General features: G+C 35.7%; 1 protein-coding gene and 2 pseudogenes across 17 annotated transcripts in view; 1 reads left to right on the forward strand and 2 right to left on the reverse strand.

Annotated features, from left to right (window-relative positions):
- Nucleotides 1-17,316, reverse strand: part of DENND1B (DENN domain containing 1B) — a 277,403-nt gene that overhangs the window by 225,889 nt on the left and 34,198 nt on the right. For 2 of the 17 annotated variants that reach the window (XM_011509249.3, NM_001300858.2), the window contains exon 3: nucleotides 4,950-5,160. The exons of 13 other annotated variants lie outside the window; for them this stretch is intronic. In XM_011509249.3, coding sequence (XP_011507551.1) covers nucleotides 4,950-5,001 — 52 coding nt within the window. In that variant the 5' untranslated portion in view covers nucleotides 5,002-5,160. Of the gene's footprint in view, nucleotides 1-3,372; nucleotides 5,161-17,316 lie in introns of those variants that run through there. 2 more of the 17 variants (XM_047447700.1, NM_001195216.2) reach the window with 2 other exon arrangements.
- RPL24P5 (RPL24 pseudogene 5) lies at nucleotides 4,968-5,513 on the forward strand (annotated as a pseudogene).
- FAM204BP (family with sequence similarity 204 member B, pseudogene) lies at nucleotides 15,919-16,867 on the reverse strand (annotated as a pseudogene).

Consider the following 17,316-nt stretch of genomic DNA (forward strand, 5'->3'; position numbering starts at 1 on the left):
TTGAATTTTTTAATCTGTTACGGTGGCTTTTAGACTGAAAATAGTTTTTATCTAATTTTTTTCAAATGTGCCACACTAAATGCAGGAAAATTAATCCTAATTTTGCAGATTCTAAGGTTAACATTTTAAAAGAAAATGAACATGGACATTATTAAACCTGTTTCCTTGACCTTAAGAACTTTTAAAAAAATAAGTTAGACACAAGTTGTTTAATCAGAATTGGTACATATATAAATTATATATGTATATTATTTGACATTTTTGAGATGTCTGAATTTTATAGGCACACTATCAAAAGAAAATACAATCTCAGAATAGGGTTGATCACTTTAAAAATTAGCTTACTAGAGCCCATAATGTTGATATTACCATATGACAACTTCATGATTCAACATAAAGGACAACTGAAATCTGGGAGGATACTGGCTACTAGAAAGTTTCGAGGAATAGCAGACACTACTTTATTCTGGTAACTTCTTGAGAGTATTTACATCACAACTTGTAAGAAACAATGAGAAAATGAGACATCCAAAAGGATTAAAACAGATTAGCAAAGAACTCATAAAGAGAAGAATTATGTCCTTTGGAACAACAAACAGAATCACACATTTAGAAAAATAATTATTGGCTGAGAAACTATAGCAGGAAAACAAACTGAAAGAAAAAGAATAAATTTGAAATTCATGACCTCAGACCAAAAATATGCTTATATTTGTTGTATATTCTAATACTAGTCTATCCTCTAGGAAAGTGAGCAATTAATTCCCATTTAGGTTGTCCTAAAAAAAAGTAGTAAGGAAGTAAAACAATAAAAGAGTTGGGGGATTATCATTTGAAGTCTAAAACTTTCAGTAGTATATAATTATATCTTCAGTGAATTCTTAAAGCATTCACGGCATGGTAGTTACGTGGCTGGATACTGAAGTCAAACTTCATATAGACATGCCATGCATTGTCATTCACTCATTATACACCAGGGGCGTCCAATCTTTTGGCTTCCCTGGGCCACAGTGGAAGAAGGAGAATCATCTCAGGCCCCACATAAAATATACTAAAAATAGCTGATGAGCAAAAAAAAGGAAAAACTTTTAAAATGCTGTAAGAAAGTTTATGAATTTTTTGGCCACATTCAAAGCTGTCCTGGCCACATGCAGCCTGCAGGCCATAGGTTGGACAAGCTTGCTATACATGATCTTTCTCAAGCTACACAGCACTCTGTGCCTCACTTTTCTCCAATGTAAAGTAGTGATAATAGCAGTACCCACCTTGAGAGATGTTGATAGGATGAGTGGAGATTACATATATTCACTATATCATTATATGCATTCACTATCACTATTCGCTATCACTTTATTCATCATTGTAAGGCGAGATGGAAAAAATGCTGAGATACTGATGCAGAAATTTGACCATAGTGAACAGAGGTAATGCATTAAGCAAAATGGTAGGTTATTACTGGCTCTTTCTTTCTCTTCATATAAATTTACCTCCCCTCACCCAGGACCTTCCCAAGTCTGGTCACTTGTTTTGTAATGCCATCCTTCTATACTTCTGTCTTAAAAGAGTAATTCCTTAAGAAATTTTTACATTTATGGTCAACTAATTATTAGTTCAAAACTTAAGAGTGCTGCACAACAGCTCACCACCCATTCCTAACTGGCCCACCTATGTGTTTCACGTGTTCTTCTTTCCTTCAACTCACTCTCAACTTCTATTTTCTATACTTATCTCTTTGCCCTTACCTCATTATCACTCAATGGCCAGCACAATCTCTCCTCTCTGTCACCTTCTCTATCTCCTTTCCTCATTTTCTGTCATGGTAAAAGTGAAACTGGGTAACTACAGGAAGAAATGTGTATTGTTACCAAAGGGAATCGGAATAATAGAAGAAACATTAAGTTAGTTAAAAGACACCATGGCAGACTGATCCTTAGAATATGACTCAAATAATACAATATAAGCTGCTGCTTCCCCATATGCATAGTTATTCTCAGGAATAAGTTACATACATTAATACATCCAAGCAAGAAGCCCAAGTGCATAAAACCTTAATTATTGCTCAAGATTGATATGTGACTGACAAGAGGAGAAGCAATTAGTCCAGGTTGGTAAATAAAAGCAGACAGATGACACAGTTACTAGCAACTTAACTTCCATCACCTCTAAATGGACTGTAACTACATTCTTGGTATTGACAATGCCAATATAAGATCAGACAGAGCCTCCGGATTCTTTGTACACTAAGATGCAACCATCTCCTCCAAGGAGTTGTATAATAACACTGCCCACCAGACCTATGTATCAACAGAATAGGTATCAAAATGCCAAATACCAAATTGGAAAGAGTCTTAATTATGTACCGCAGATATGCAGTGTCCTACTTCTTTATTTCTATAGACAAACATGATCATATTAAACAAGGAAATTGGGGAAAAAAACAATGAAGAAAAAGGATCAAGATTTTGTACTCACACAACAAGAAAATAAATATTCAGAACTTGACAGAAGTCTATAATGGAGCTTTTTAGGAAAAAGAGTAAATACTAGACATCTACTGTTTCCTGCATTTATAGTGTGGTCTGCAATATACACTCTTCAAATTATGAAGTTTAAACACCTATGTTTAAGAATAAGCACAAAAAAAAATTAGAAATATGCATGTATTATTAGACCTCAAGTATCCACCCCTGACAGTTATTTGCTTAACCTGTTTTTATAAACACAGCATACAAACCTTGATGAATGTTTCTCCTGTTATTCTTCTACCTTACCCAACACTTTTTCCCCCTTACCAGCTTATTTTACGGTCAGAGGTTAAACTGCTAACCCTTCACCTTCCAGGAAAGTTTTTTTTCCTCTCTCATAAAAGGTTTTTCACAGTGTGCAGCAGTCGGATTAGCTCTTCTCTTCGAGAACAAAAGCTCTGTCTTTGTCTTCGTTGTTTGGGCATGGAGCCCCTACATCAGAGGAAGCTGCTCCTACTCAACATGCACAATAATGATATTGTGAGGCCCCACGAAAGCCTGGCCTCTCAGTGTCTAGACTCTCATCCAACCAGCTAGCCAAAGAGAAAATCCTGTCAAGCACTCAGCTGAAAATTAACTAAGGTATCCTGTTGAGAACCTGATGAAGATGTTATTTGACCATACGGTAAAACTTTCTATTGTTGAACATAAAGATAAGAGAAAAACTTTTAGAACTCAATGCTTTAACAATCCTGGTCACCAATTCACACATGGGTCAGTAAATGTATTTTACCAACATACAACCCCTTCCTCTATACGTGCTCTTAAAATAATACACAGGCTTATTTATGATATTCTAATCTCTTGCATTTAAAAATCTGTGCAACTAAAAGATACATTCAAAAAATTACAAGAAATTATATTTTATTTGCAGTATTTACATTAAATATTTATCATTAGAAATTCTGCTACTGTATTTTTCACTGAAGGACCCAATCAAAATGCAGAAGTCAAAATAAAACTGTCATATCTTTTCATATTCCTGAATAAGTTTTAAAATATTGAACAGAAGAGAAACAGTAAACTAAAAAGTAGATAACTGATTAAAACTTAGAAATGAAAAGAGTATATAAACCAAACCATTCTTATAAAAACTATCTGTAAATTTTTTAACCTGTAAAAAGTTAAACACATTAGATAAATTTAAATTCAGTCATATGATGGTAGTGAAAGATAATTCTCTCAAGTATATTAAGTTATGGTTGAGTTCATGAATATTTACAAGGGGCTTTGGGGACTGCTGCAGTTTATGAAATATTTTGTAATTTAAACCAATAGCAACAACAAATATTGAAAATTAAGTGAAAACTATATATGATTACAACCACATTTAATAAGCTCATATTGAAATCTAAAAAGGAATACACAAAAATAGATGTTTTGTGTTATTGGTATAAAAAGAAAAATCTTTTTCCTTCTTTCAAAATTGACTGCAATACATTACATTCGTAATTTAAAAAAAAAAACTTTGCAAAATAATCAGAATAGTTCAAAACCCTACAAACAGACAGCAATTAATGAAAGATAAGGGTGTAACTACTGTATACAGGATTCAGAATTAAAGAATACATCATTTGTTACATACTCCATAGAGTAATATAAATTGATTTCCCAAATTTTAGGAGAAACATAAATATGCTTTTTTTTTAACCTACAACAAACTTAACAAAAGAAATACATTTATTCATAAGGGGGAAAATAATCAATGCTTATACATAGCAGATGTCTGGCATGGAGGAGTATGTTCCTACTCTTTTAATAGACACATGAAAATCTAAGCCTGGCAAACAAAAATATTTAAATTAAAGACTCTGGAACACAGTGGATAAGTAAGAACTGGCAGAAAATGTTAAATATTTCATTCCTACTTCTGTAGAAAAAGCGGACAAAATTTTAACAAAATTTAAAAGAACATTTCATAAAACAATAATATGCAATTTTAAGAAAATAGATTTGGTTAAATCTATATTATATATGAATAATACAAAAGTTAACAGAAAGGTACAAAAAACAATATTGAATGGGTCCAACATGCCTACCATTGAGTATCTTTTACATCAATGAATTAGCAATCTGTAAAATGATTACAGTACCAAATACATCCACCCAAATACTGGAGGCAGAATGGCTTTATTCTACTATACCTCTGCTTCAAGTGGTTTTATTTCCTCAGAATGCTACACAGCTCCACCTTGGCTTTTGGCAATTAAACTAAATAAAATTTAAAAGTCCAAGACCTCAGAGAATTCACTGTTAAAAAAAAATACTCTGAAGCTACTTCTCATGGGTTCTCGGGTACATTTCCTTTGTTAGAAGAAGTGATCTAAAGTTTTGCTTAACAGTTTATGTTTACTTTAGTGTGAACTATGAAACATTCCATTTACAAAGTGTTCTTAGACTTTTATGAATTCTAAAGGGTATTACTCGAAAATACAGGTTGGGGCCATCTTTTCTCCTCCCGTGGAGCTGCCGCCATGAAGGTCGAGCTATGCGGTTTCAGCCGGTACAAGGTCTACCCCGGACACGGGAGGCGCTACGCCAGGACCGACAGGAAAGTTTTCCAGTTTCTTAATGCAAAATGCGAATCGGCGTACTTTTCCAGGGGGAATCCTCGGCAGATAAGCTGGACTGTCCTCTACAGAAAGAAGCACAAAAAGGGACAATTGGAAGAAATTCAAAAGAAAAGAACTTGCCGAGCAGTCAAATTGCAGGGGGCTATTACAGGTGCCTCTCCTGCTGATATAATGGCCAAGAGGAATCAGAAACCTGAAGTTAGAAAGGCTCAACGAGAACAAGGTATCAGGGCTGCTAAGGAAGCAAAAAAGGCTAAGCAAAGTATCTAAAAACACTGCAATGGCTGCTGTTAAGGCACCTACAAAGGCAGCACCTAAGTAAATGATTGTGAAGCCCGTGAAAGTTTCAGTTCTCGAGTTGGTGGAAAACGCTAAACTGGCAGATTAGATTTTTAAATAAATATTGGACTTAAAAAAAAAAAAAGAAAATATAGGTTGGAATACTGCAAAACAACCCACTCTTTTGATTTCAAGCTCAATTTTAAGCTGCAGATTCCAACTTTTATTGAACTTGAATAGCAAAAATTTTGAGTCAGAGATAACATAAGATCTACTCATTTTGAGACTTGGGATTAAATGGTTTGCCCAATTCTTTCTACCTGTCTGTCTGTCTCTCTATCTATCTATCTATCGAGACAGGATCTTGCTCTCTTGCTCAGGTTGGAGTACAGAGGCACAATCATAGCTTACTGCAGCCTCAGTTGAGGCTGCCTCAGCCTCCCAAATAGCTAAGACTACAGGCGTGTGCCACCACACCCAGCTAATTAAAAAATAATAATAATTTGTACAGACAGGGTCTCACTATGTTGTCCAAACTGGTCTTGAATTCCTGGCCTGAAGCAATCCTCACACCTTGGCCTCACAAAGCACTAGGATTAGAGGTGTGAGCCACCATGCACAGCCTCTTATGTTTTAAATTAAAATAATAAATTCTATGTATGTCATAAAAATCATCCCTGAGATAATCTGTGATAAATTTGTTACTGTAACCTTTCCTTACAAATGCCCATACTGCATTCCTGTTGTACTGGAATGTCTATTCATTAGCCCCAAGGCTCTACTGATCTTGCTTGCCTTTCTCTTAGACTGCTATTCAGATTTTTGTTATACCACTCATTCTGAAAACAGCTTCCTTTTTATTTGCGACTGCTGAGTACACACCCAAGCATCTATTCTTTTGAATGTCTCTTTGAGACTACTTCATAAATGAGATTTCTCAATACTAGCATTTATGCAAGACATCAAAACTATTGCTATGTCTCTTGAAAATCACTGAAGACTGACTAATTGCACATAAAAAAGCCTATTCTGAGTCTAAATCATACTTCATCTTTGATAAGCCCTCATCCATTCCTAACTCTATCCCAGTTCTTCCAATTGCACACATAGGGCATATCAGAGACACTGCTCCTTTCCTACAATCAGCTATAAGGCAGCACACCAATAAACCTGACAGCAACATCTCCAACAGAATAGTGGGAAAATCATCTGCCCTATGTCGAAGTGGTTGGATCTAAGCACCACCATAGCCCTATTCCTTTAGACAATGGCTTCAAACTTTCAGATGCATAACAATCACCTGGGAAACTTTTTCCAAAATGTAGATTACACTCCCACCTCCATCCTTAAAATAATCAAAGTATGTCCCAGGATCCTGACTTCTCAATAAATCATCTATAGCTCTAAATCACATACTGACAAACACTGAATAGCAGCTCTTTCTAAACACTTGTGGACATCTGTCTAGCAACATTAAACATTCCATCTTGGAGGTATGACAAAACTCCACAGGCCCCTGAAAACAAGGAGATTTTTTGCACTCTATTAGACTTGTTTGCCTCTATCTACTAAGCATTATAGGAGATTCTCCTACTTAATCATTACGGTGAGAATGCAACAATGATTCTTATTCATTTTTAGGCCTTTTCTTAGCTAGACAAGAAAAACATTCACATAGGTATCCAGGATCTAATTTACTACAGGTAGGGAAGCCTCAAGATTCTAATTATGTAAAAATTGGTGAATTTAAAAATAAATACTTAGAATTCTGCTTCAAAAAAAGAAAAACAAGTAAAGCTATGTCTTCCTGTTGAGTTACAATACACATCTCCCTTTAGTCTGGTAGAACTGTGTTTTCCAATCACCTTGAGGAAATAAAGCATTACTTAGTTCTAAGATAAAATTTCCAGTATTATGCTGAAATTTTATTAGAAAGGAGAGGGTAACATAGATATCTGACCTGGAAGCAGATAACCCAGCTCATTTTCTTCCCGCAGGTTTTGATTGCCTCCTAATTTCCTATAATTTATTGTCCCTATTTACTTTCCCCTTCAACTGTATTTACACAGATTTCTCTGACACCTGTTTATTACATTTCTTCTCCTCTCTGTCACTGATCCAGTATGAATTAGCATGCATGAGTACCCTCTGTTATATAACAGGACAAAGGGGAGTATCTAATATTATAACTGGAAAAGAAGCTTTCATGACAAATGATTTTGAACCAATGCTGAATTTTGAATTTAAGGTGCTATTTTTCTCATTTAGACATAGAAGTATTTTCCTTTCAAAGCCAAAAAATATCAACATTAAATCCACATAGAGAATGACAGCCAGGTCACAACAATTCCCTCGTTTCTGGGAACTACATCTTATACCCAGGGTGGGTTTTCAGTAGTTGCATCCACAATTGGTGAATGTGACCTCAGGCCAGAGCTGATAAGTCAAACACATGACCTAATCTGGCCAGTTTCTTTCTCATAGAAGACTTGGGTTATTAACTGTGAAACACAACATGGAAGATGCTGATGCAGAATCACTTTTTGGCAGAAAGATGACAGAAGATCCTCAGAACTTCCATGGTAACTATATTCCCAAACATTATTTACCCATGTACTTAGTTACCATAGCTTTTCTTCTAACCATAGATGCAGAATGTTAAAGCAGCACTTTTACATCCATAAACAGGACATCTGCTTCCAGCCAAGAGAAAGTACAAACTGTATTTGCTCTCTCTCTAACAACTAAAAATCTAAAAAAATACATTAAACAATTTTCAGACATTAGTAAATGCAGGACAGTGATCCCTGACAGAGATAAAACAAACAAGGTAAGCCTTACAATTGGTCTTAATATCTGGAGTTTCCAGGATGTGGCACAAGGTGGGAGAAACCCAGGCAGAGCCCAGTGGTCTTCCTGAGATGAGGTTGGAAGGCCAAAGCATCTAGACTCCACAAAGAGAACAGAGACGAAGCTGCACAGGAATAGAGCTCTGGAGAGCTGCAGAAGGTTCACCACCAACCCACCCAAGACTTTAGTGCTGATGATCAGTGCACACATATGAGGAAACTACCAGACACTGAGGAAAGAATCACCCAAAAGAAATGGGGGGGAAATCCCAGGATCAGCTGACATTCACACCACCCAGAGTGGGAAAACCTCATAATCAACAAGAGTATCCTGTACAGTACTCAGAGGGTAACACCTTAGCAGTGGGACAAAATCAGCACTGGACTGAAGATGACTCTGGTTTCACCTACCAAAGCTTAAAAGCAAGCCTCAAATGTTCAAACTGTTTCCAAATAACTTAACTGTAATCTAAAACAAAACCTTAAGTGCATATGGGACATATACGAGAAGAAATCATATAATGCACCATAAAGCAAGTCCTAACTGATTTAAAAGGATTCAAGCCATACCATGATATTCTCTGGAATTACATTATCAAAATATAACAGAAACATCACAGGAAAATCCCCAAATATTTGTAACTTAAATAACATACTTCTAAATAACCCAACGGTCAAAGAAGAAATCAAAAGGAAATGAAAATCTAAATGAACTCTAAATGAAAATAAAAACAAAACTGATAAACTGATCAAAAGAAAGGACTATTCTCTGTGAAAGACAATGTTAGTTAAAAGCATGAAAAGACAAAATACAGATGGGAGAAAAAAATGCAAATCCAACAAAGTCATTGTATCCTGGATATATTAAAATCTTTCAAAACTCAGTAATAAGAAACCAACCCAATAAAGAAAATATAAGAGAAAGAGCTGAACAGACATTTCACCAAAGAAGATATACAGATGGAAAATAAGCAAATGATTTCATCTTAATAAAACATAATTGAGTCTTAAAATGCTTCCACCAATTTCTAAGAAATCAGACCTTTACCTCTAAATTAGAATATGTAATGTGCTAAGATATTCTTAACAGTTCCTTTCAGTTACCCTATGAAAATTTTGCACTATCAAATATAATTTTGCATCAGCAAAGACAATCACTACAGCCCTGAACTTGTGTTTGATTTGGGGCTGGGCAGGCATATAACCTAATTATGAGCGCAAAAGGAAGGAGAGTGCGATTTTAATTCTGTTAAGTTGGTTAAAGTGAGACTCACTGACAATGAGCAAAAACTTGAAAAAGGTAAAGAAATTACTTGTGCAGATATCTTGGGAAAGTGTATTAGAAGTAAACAAAAAATGCAAACCCTTGAAGGAGCATGCTTGATGTTGTTCCAGGGATAGCAAGAAGCCAGTGTGGCTGCAGTTAAGAGAGCAAGGGAGAAAAGTGGGAAAGGATGAGGTTAGAAATGTAAACAAGGGGGATTTGAGCCAGTTATATGGAGCCTTGTGGGTCCCTGGCAAGTCTTTTATTTGAATGATTTGAAAAGGCAGAGGGATGAATAAAAAAGGAATTATGAGCAAGAGATCCCTATATGGGGAAGACTGAGTCTCAGAAAGTCAAGGTTTGAGAATTGAGGTTGTAGACAAATTTCTATTACTGTATCGAATATGCTACACAATATATTTTGAAAACTATCAAAAGGAAGATGAAATCCTTGCTTCAGTGAGTTGATAATGTAGTTGAAGAACTAAACAATAATACAATTAAAATGACAGAATGTTTAAATTACAAGGGGCTTTTGGATAGTCTATAGCTTTTGTTTACCTGAAGGAACTTGAGTCAAGAAAGGAAAAATGATTTATGCAAGATCATATAACTAGTTGTTGGTTCAGGCAGAACTAAATTGCCACCTTCATTAATAAGTTCTTTAAAGTCCAGTTTATCAATGGTATGAAGGACAAGCTGAAGAAAAGACTATACTTATGAAGCACTTTTGCAAGATAAATAAGCATTTGTCACATTCACTTGCTTTCCTGACTTCCAAATTTCTGTCCTACAATTTTGAAGGAAGGAGTGAAAAGCAAAGCTAACACCTATGTTGATAAGTAAATTTAGTAGATCAAAAGATAAAAATCCTTCTGTATTTTGATCAGAAAAGCACACAAAGCTTTTCATATGAAGACTATATTTTCTTCCTAAAAAAGAAAAAAAGACTATTTTCTGGAATTTCTCTAGGCTACAAAGAGAAAGGATAAGACAAGTAAATCATTATCCTCTATGTTGATAAAGCTTGCTTCCTTCAAATCAAGATAAACACCGCTGGCTGGTAAAAAATAACATCTCCTGCCAGAGTCCTCTCACTGAAGCAGTAGTACTTCTGACATATCCCAAGATAGAGTAACCAATTAATTCATGTGCATATTCCAAAGATCATCACTTCCAACTCAACCCAACTAAGGATGTATTACCCAAAAAAGGGTTTAAAGCGATTACAATGATGCCATCCTTATTTATGCATATTTATAGAGCAAATAATCATTAAAGCAGTTTTAAACTACAAATATACTTTTAAAATTCTAATGTTAGAATATTAATCTTCAAAGTAGAACAAGCCTAATGTGAGAATGTCAATACACAATCTTTAACACATTTCTGCACAATCGTTTGAACCTAATTATCAAATTGACAATTTAAAGTAATTATAAAGTAACACAAAAACATACCTTTTATGCCATTACCAAAGATTTACTATTTAATAAAACTTCTAAAAGTAGTTTCAAATATTTAACAGGCACAAAACTTAAAACATTGGTATCTATACAATCTCACCAGGTAAAGAATTTAAAATTTCAGTTTCATAATCCTATACACAGAATGAATAAAATGGGCATAAACTACATACACTCAAAAAGAAAAAAAAGAACTAAAATAAACGTGGCAACCCACACCTATGGTATGCAGAAAGGCAGAAAGAACATTAAACTTCATTTAGAGATTCGATTTGCAGTCTCAGCTCTTCCACTTTATAACTTTGGAATCTTAAGTATGGAAGAACTTCACTGAGCTTTAATTTGCTCAATAAAATGAGGATAGCTACTGAACCTAACATAGAGAGTTGCTGAGAAAATCAAAATTAATTTAAAATAATATATGTAAAATCCCTTTCAATCCGTAAATTAGTACACAAATTTACATTACAAGGAGAAATGTTAAATATAATACAATGGCACTATTTCAAGTCTTGGTCGATACCATCTAACATAGCAATCTAATTTCTTTAGTAATTTTTTCTTTCAAAAACTCAGTTCATAAAATGCTTTATGTTATCAACTGTAGGCATATGTTTACCTAGAGGTAAATAACCACAAACTAATCTGTCATATAACATCCTAATTCTCATCATTACCATAACAATAATATCAAGGGACAGAATTTTTATACTTTAGTCTCATATTTCTACTGTGTGCTTTGTGGAACAAGACACATTTACTGAGTACCCACTTATATAATACTCTAAATAATTTTTAAAAGAAGAAAAGATAACATCTCTGACTTTACCAATCTTGCAGTCTAGCTGGCATAATACTGTATATTCATAAATAATGCAAATTAAAGTGATAGGAGACTTCACTTTTGGTCATGAGGCAGTAACAGGCACAAACCAGCTGGCCCACTATAAACAATGTAAAATAAAGTAAAACTGTACAAAATATTTGAAACAAATATTTTTAAAAGTTGAGCAACAGGAAAAGCAAGACTGTGGTCTCTGGGAAAAAAAGCACTACAATCTCCCTGGCTTTCTGTCTGAAGGCACTTTCAGAACTGTAGCACACAAAAAACTACAGTCTTTCTGAGCAGCGGAAAAAGAGAATAAAGTCTGGAGATGAAGCAAAATTTGTGGAAGATAATATCAAATACAAGGAGCATCAGAAATCTGTATAAGGGTCATATTAAGTCTCTGGCCAAACACTAGGTTGCATATGTGCAGGGTGACACTCTTGACAATGTCTGGCAGTGAATAGCTGAATGGAGATTCTGGTGGTCACATAGAACCAAGAGACAGAACAAGCAGATAAAACCATGGACATGTGAGGAATTCAACTGAGACACCTCAGAAAGGTCACACTGTTAGGAGACAATTCCAGGGGTCTCTCACTTCACTTCACTTCTTTAGAGCCCAGATAGATGACTGGGTTTTATTCCAGACTATCTTTTCCAGGATGACTGACTGACAAGGGAAGTAATCATTAACAAAGTTTTAAGTTATTAACATGATATTAACAAGATTAAATCAAACACCCTTAGAAAACAGTCTCCATCCCAAGCAGAGCGCACATTACCTTATAGCCTTGGAAGACAGAAATACAGATATACCTTGAAGATATTGCAGGTTCAGTTCCAGATCAACTCAATAAAATGAGTATCACAATAAAGCAAGTCACACAAATTTTGTGGTTTCCTAGTGCATATAAAAGTTATGTTCACACTATACTGTAGTCTATTAAGTGTGCAATAGCATTATGTCTTTAAAAATGTAAAAAACCCTAATTTAAAAATATGTTATTGCTTTAAGAAATGCTAACAATCTTCTGAGCCTTCAGCAAGTTGTAATCTTTTTTTTGGTGGAGGGTCTGCCTCAGTGTTGATGGCTGCTAACTGATCAGCCTGGGGGTTGCTGAAGGCTAGGATGGCTGTGGAATTTCTTAAAATAAGGCAACAATTAAGTTTGCCACATCAATTCATTCTTCCTTTCACAAAAGATTTCTTTGTACCATAAGATGTGGTTTGATAGCATTTTATCCACAGTAGAACATCTTTCAAAAGTAGTGTCAATCTAAGCTGGTTACAATAGTGCAGGCCTGAAGTCCTAGCTGCTACGGAGGCTGAGGCAGTAGGACTGCTTGAGCCCAGGTGTTCAAGGCCAGCCTGGGCAACATAGCAAGACCCCATCACAGAAAAAAAAATTGGAGTCAGTCCTCTCAAACCCTTCCCTGCTTTATCATCTAAGTTTATGTAATATTCTAAACCCTTGGTTGTCATCTCAACAATGTTCAGAGCATCTTCACCAGTAGATTCCATCTTAAGAAATCACATTCTTTGCTCATCCGTAAGAAGCAACTCCTCATACATCAAAGTTTTATCATAAGATAGCAGCAATTCAGTCACATATTAAGGATTTACTTCTAATTCTAGCTCTCTTGTTATATCCACCACATCTGTGTTACTTACGCCACTGAAGTCTTAAATCCCTCCAAAGTCATTCATGAACGTTGGAATCGATTTGTTTCAAACTTCTGTTAATGTCGATATTTTGACCTCCTCCCATGAATCATGAAATATTCTTAATGACATCTAGAATGGTGAATCCTTTCCATTCACCAAAGAGATTTTTCAATGTGCTTTGCCAAGATCCATCAGAGGAATCAGTATCTAGGGCATCTATAGCCTTTCAAAATGTATTTCTTACATTTAGACTTAATGATATAAAACTTGAAAGTCAAAATTACTCTTGGATCCATGGGCTGCAGAATGGATATTGTGTTAGCAAGCATTAAAACTTTTGTCTTCTTGTATATCTCCATCAGAGCTCTTGGTAAACAGGTACATTGTCAATGAGCAACAATATTTTAAAAGAAATCTTTTTTTCTAAGCAGTAGGTCTTAACAGTGGCCCTAGAATATTCGATAAGCCATGCTACAAACAGATGTGCTGTCATTCAGGCTTTGTTATTCCATTTATAGAGCACAGGCAGAGTAGATTTAGCATAATTTGTAAGGGCCCTGGGATTTCTGAATTGATAAATGAGCACTGGCTTCAACTTCAAGTCACTAGCTACATTAGCCCATAACAAGAGTCAGCCTGTACTTTGAAACTCAGAAGGCAGTAACTGACTTCTTTCTAGCTCAGAAAGCCTTACATGGCATCTTCTTTTAATATAAGGCTGTTTCATCTACACTGAAAATCAGTTGTTTAATGTAGCCACCTTCATCAATGATCTTAGCTAGATCTTCTGGATAACTTGCTACAGCTTCTACATCAGCACTTGCTGCTTCACCATATACACTTTCATGTTACAGAGATGGCTTCTTTCCTTATCTCATGAACCAACCTCTGCTAGCTTCAAATTTTTCTTCTGCTGCTTCCACATCTCTCTCAGCCTTCACAAAATTGAAGAGAGTTAAGACCTTGCTCTGGATTAGGCTGTGACTTAAAGCAATGTTGTGGATGGTTTGTGGATGGTTCCATCCAGACCACTAAAACTTTCTCCACCTCAGCAATAAGGGTGTTTTGCTTCCTTATCATTTGTGTGTGCACTGGAGTGGCACTTTTCATTTCCTTCAAGAACTTTCCCTTTGCATTCACAACCTGACACAAACAGTTAGTCGGGTGCAAAAGGCCTGGCTTTCAGCCTATCTCAGCTTTTTAAATGCCTTCCTCACTAAGCTTTATCACTTCTAGCATTATATTTCAAGTGAAATACATGTGAGTCTTCCTTTCACTTGGACACTTAGAGGCCATTGTAGGGTTATCAATTGGCCTAATTTCAATGTTGTTGTGTCTCAGGGAATAGTGAGCCCCAGGAGAGGGAGAGAGATGGGGCAACAGCTGGTCTGGGGTGCCCCATCTCTCTTGTTAGAACACATACATTTATCAATCAAGTTTGCCATATTATATGGGCATGGTTCATGGTACCACAAAACAATTACAACAATAACATCAAAGATCACTGATAACAGATCACCATATATATATTATATATATATATATATATATATAATATATATAATAATAATGAAAATTTTTAGAAGGTTCAAAGTTATATTATCTTGAGTTATAACTGTCTGCTTAATACAATTACACCATTTTCACTTCTAAGAACCATCCCATAATTTAAAGAATGGCATGGCTGAGAAAGATACTTAGGAAGACATTTTTAGGCATTGCTGAATTTAAATCATCTTCCAAATACTACATTCTGCCCCTTTCTTTATTGTAACAGTTTATCTGAAAGTACAAAAAAAATTAGTAAATTGCTTTTACTATGCAATTCTGAAATATCAAGTCTACTGCTTCCAATAAAAAAATTAGTAACTCCTTTTATAACATTAAGGTCAAGTCATTTGTAAAGACAGTGTCAATTGAAACTTTTTGGCATTTACGACTAATCCATTATAAACAACTGTTAATCTTAAAAACACAGTACCAGAAAACGTGTAGTTACACTGGATACAGATAAGAAAGTACAAGGCCAGCATGTTTGCTCATGCCTGTAATCCCAGCACTTTGGGAGGCCAAGGCAGATGGATCATATCAGGCCAGGAGTTCAAGACCAACCTAACCAACACAGCAAAACCCGTCTCTACTAAAAATACAAAAAGAAATTAGCTGGGCATGGTGGCACTTGCCTGTAATCCCAGCTACTCGGGAGGCTGAGGCATGAGAATCACTTGAACCCAGGAGGCAATGGTTGCAGTGAGCCAAAATCATGCTACCGCACTCTAGCCTGGGTGACAGAGACTGTCTCAAAAAAAGAAAGAAAGAAAGTATGAGAAGATCACTGACTACACTAAACCAAATGAACGAAAAACAGCAAAACTGATTTTATACCATGGGTCTATACAAATAAATAAACAAAATTCTATCCTATTTTTCTATATTTTTTCTTACATTTCTTATACAAATATGAGAATGCTTCATTTTATTCACTTCAGTACGACAAAGCCCTTAGAGAAAGATTGAAAAGAGCTGATAATCAAACTCCCAAATTTTATGCTTATTTTTGTTCTAGTGCTATCAATTTTCTGACATATTTAACACAGGCTGGAAAACGTTCTCAGTAAATTGAGCATTTGAGTCCACAAATGTCTTGAAGCACTCTGGCAAGTTATGCATATCCCATGTCACTTTGGGTTTCCCATCTCTTCTTTGCTTCAAACCCCCATGCAAGTTTCTTCTTTTTGGGGGCAGCCTGTGAATTTTCAACCTCCTTTTTGGCTTTTACAAAGTTGTGGCAGGCAACTGCTTTGGCAATCTTTACACCAAGCTCTCGAGTAGCTAGCTGGTTTTTCTGAGTTCCTCAGTCTTCTCAATATTCCACCCCTCCACAGCCTGGTCTATCCTCTCTTCAAGGCCTGATTTCTCAACATTTTTCCTTTTAACATGGCGTTCAAATCAATCATTGACTCCAAAATACTGAGTAAGCTCCTTCCACTGGGTTTCATTTGAGAACTGTTCACTGTGAGATTCTTTTTCATTCCTCAATTTATCTTTTCTGGAGCGTTTTCTTTTTTTCCCTCTGAATCTTGAGGTTGCGTTTTTCTGTTCAGAATGTTTTTTATGCAATTCTTGAAATATATTCTACATATCTAGGGGAATTCCAGAAGGACACTCTTCATAGGCATTTACATTCGACTCTGTTTCAGTTTTGGGTTCATCTATCGAGAATCTATGATTTCTGTTTTTCTGATGCTCCCATCCTCTTTATCTTCTTGTGAGTTAAGTCCAGAGTTCTGCAATGTAGCTTCATCTTCAGAGTTTCACTCAACATCACTTTCATTTAGGCCAGGAGGTAGCAGCCCACTCCACATCTTTTCGTCTGTCAGGAAGCGGTCACCTGGCAGCCATCTTAAGACCCCGTCAGAAAATGTTTTAAATATTGGGAGAGTTACCAAAATGTGACACAGAAACACAAAGTGAGCACATGCTGTTAAAAAAAAATGGCACCAGTAGACTTGCTCAAAGCAGGGCTGCTACAAACCTTCAGTTTTTAAAAAATGCAATACCTAAAAAGCACAACAAAGCAAAGTGTAATAAAACAAGATTTGCCTAAAGTATCTGCCTCCAACAGCAAAAAGCAGGCATGCTTACTGCACACTACATGCTACTTGGGTTTCCTACACTCAGGGTTCCTCTTCTATAACGTATCCAACTGCATTTGCAGGCAACCACCTGGGTGCATTCACACCCCACTCCTGTGATTCAGGGGCAAGGAAAACTGACACAAATTATTGATGCTCATGTCACTTGTGCCATAGATAATAAAGTCCTCTATTTCTGATCATGGAAACTCATGTCTTCTGATAGCATCA

The sequence above is a fragment of the Homo sapiens genome, chromosome 1 (assembly GCF_000001405.40).
Source record: "Homo sapiens chromosome 1, GRCh38.p14 Primary Assembly".
NCBI classification, from domain to species: Eukaryota; Metazoa; Chordata; class Mammalia; order Primates; family Hominidae; genus Homo; species Homo sapiens.